General features: G+C 46.4%; 1 long non-coding RNA gene across 1 annotated transcript; it reads left to right on the forward strand.

Annotated features, from left to right (window-relative positions):
• The first annotated feature begins 541 nt into the window (after positions 1-541).
• Positions 542-1,948, forward strand: LOC105372567 (uncharacterized). The gene is made up of 3 exons (XR_937350.3): positions 542-612; positions 1,264-1,368; positions 1,472-1,948. It is a non-coding gene; the product is annotated as an uncharacterized LOC105372567 (long non-coding RNA).
• The last annotated feature ends 821 nt before the right edge of the window (positions 1,949-2,769 follow it).

The following is a 2,769-nucleotide window of genomic DNA, read 5'->3' on the forward strand; positions in this document are numbered from 1 at the left end:
AAGAGTAAGATTTCTTCCCAGGAAGCAGGTCCAAGGAGAAAAATCTGAATCCATGGTGTCCAATGCCAAAGGCCCTAAGTCCCCCTGTCCCCAAAAGGACAAGAAGATGTTAGACACAGTACGGAAGGGAAGACTTTGCTCCGAGTTAGATGTTGAGAGAACCTCATCATTAATCTGAAAAAGGAACACCACCAACAACAAAACAATTAACACCAAATTAGAGTTGGGGGAGAAAACAAACATACCAAATTAAAAAAAACAGTGGGAAGTGCAAATGATTCCTGATCTCTGCAGAGGCATTTCTTATGGATTGAGAAATGGCCAGCTTCCTGGAAAATTAAGTATATCTCCTGCAGATGCTGTCAGGGATGCGAGGAGCAAGAAGACTGCACTCAACAATAGTCAGTGGACACACAGCAATGGAGGGCGGCTGGCAAGAGCTGGCAGACTTGTGAGAAATCCGACCTTCTGGCTAGGCCCCTAAAGAGTTCTAGAATGCTGCTCTTTCAGATATCTATGGAGACAAAACGTATAGTTTGTTAATATCAGAAAGAATGCAATTCACTGATATTTACTGAACACGTACATGAAAAGCACAGTGACCACCTCTTTGTAAGTAGCAGGGACTTAAACACGCAGAGTTCAGTCACACCAGCTCCTGGCCCGCTGCTCACTGTGTGCTGAGCTCTCCTGGGCTCATAAACCTGTGCTGAAGGTTGTTCTGTGCTGCATTTTCCTCATCAGGATCTCAGCCTTAGAGGGTTTGTGTGTTAAGTTCAAGGTCCCACGTTACTGAGCTTGTTTTTGTGATTCCCTTAGTCTTCCTTTCTTGGTGATGCCACACAACCTCCCAGAAACTAGGGAAGCCATGTCTGATTGCAGACCTGAGGGAGAGCTACAGGTTGTTATTTTAGCATTAGATTTTCTAGCATAAAATATTAAATCCTATCTTAATAAAATGTAGCTTGAGATAAGCTTCCACAATTAACATGGAAGACAAAAAAATGTTTCCTGATAATCATCCGTGAGGCTAGAACTTCTCTCTAAGAATAGAGATATGAATGTCTGCACTAGGAAAGGATGAAGGCTCTTCATTAAGAGGTGGCAAAGTCAACGTTTGAATGGTTTTAGCCTAGTCTTCTCCTTATGAGGATCAGAAAACTCAAAGCCAGCACTGAGGGAATGGTTTGATCTCCTTTCTTGAAGGAAGATTGCAGAAGGGCTTGGAAAAGTGAATGATTAACTTGACCACATTTCTCCTAGGGCCGGGAAGTGAGTGCACTCAAAGCAGGATTTCCTGGCAACTGCTCCAGTAATGTCTTACTGAGAATGGAGAAATCTGGAGGATAAGAGGAAAGAGGAAAAATGGTAAATTACAGACTGTTTCAACAGCAAAACAAAGGACTCTAGAGAAAATCGGGAAACTCCAGTCCTTTGGGGAGGGTAGAAACAATGCACTATTGTTTTCTAGAAGTCTTCATGGAAGATATTTTATCCATGGAACTGCACACTGTGGAAGCCTTGCAGAACCCGTGTCACATCTTAGGGACACACGTCCCAGCCTGCTGGAAATCTGAAGAACCCAGTATGGGGGAGAGGAAGCAGTGTGCAGACCATCTAGTGACATCCATTAATTCATGGAGGAGGGAATTGAGGTCCACAGTCTGCTTCTACACCCCAAAGGAAAAGGGGAGTGTTTTACAACTTATTTGAAATGTGAAGGACTGGCCTGGCACTTAGTGTACTCTTGGTTAATGACATGTGGATTGTTTTAATGATGCCCAAACACTCTTGTAAAGTGGAAAATATAGGCAGCCTGGGGTGCACATCAGGGTCAGCATCAGGGAATATAAGCTCATTAGTAGGTTAACACATACCTCCTTTTCCTGCTGAAAACCATGGCTGGCCTCCAACCAGAAACGCCCCTTCATACTTTTGAAGCAGGTCTTTAGTCTCCCTACACATCTTGCCTTATGTGATCACATTCCTTCCCTCCTGCAGCTGCCCTGGATTGAGAGAAATATAGGAGGCCAGGGAAGAGATTGGGTCTCTTCCCTCTGATCCTGCAGGCTGATGTCCTTCTCCTCCGAGCCACTGCCTTCCTGGGGGCTGCCTCTTGTGTCATCTAAACAGGCAGACATTTCCAGGTTTTGAACCCATCATTCATTCCAGGCCCACTGAGCACAGACTGCATACAGAACAGTGGGGCCTTGCACCTGAGGAGAAAGTGCACCTGCAATTCTGGAAACACGCTGTGGAGGCACAAAACCTCTCTGGGGGCACAAGACTAAGTGGAGGCCTCTGAGAATGGGGCATGGGAGTGAACCATAAGAAGAGAGGGAGGAGTGTGTGAACCAGAGTTCCAGGACTGAAGTCCCCAGGAAGAGCAGGTGGGAAAATCTGGAAGGGAATTTTCATTCCCTTGCGAACTAAAGAGATGGAGTAAAGAGGCCAGTAATAGATTTGGGACTGGACCACAGGGGGCCTCTGGGACCATGGTGAGGACTGGAGCTTTCATGGAGCAGAGGGAGGCCGGTGAGGGTTTATGCAGAGGGGAGGCTTAACTTAGCTTACACCCAGTCTGAAAAGTTCATTTCGGTTGTTGTATATAGAACAATGGAGAGGGGAGTGGGCACAGGGAGGCTAATTAGGGAGCAGCTTCAGTAGCAGGAGGTGGTGCTGGGTTGCTCTAGGATGGAGACATCAGCAGAAGGGACCCGGGCCTGTGTGAGACACCTGTTGAAGGAAGGATCCACCGGGCTTGCTGCT

This window comes from Homo sapiens, chromosome 20 (genome assembly GCF_000001405.40).
Source record: "Homo sapiens chromosome 20, GRCh38.p14 Primary Assembly".
Classification (NCBI taxonomy): domain Eukaryota; kingdom Metazoa; phylum Chordata; class Mammalia; order Primates; family Hominidae; genus Homo; species Homo sapiens.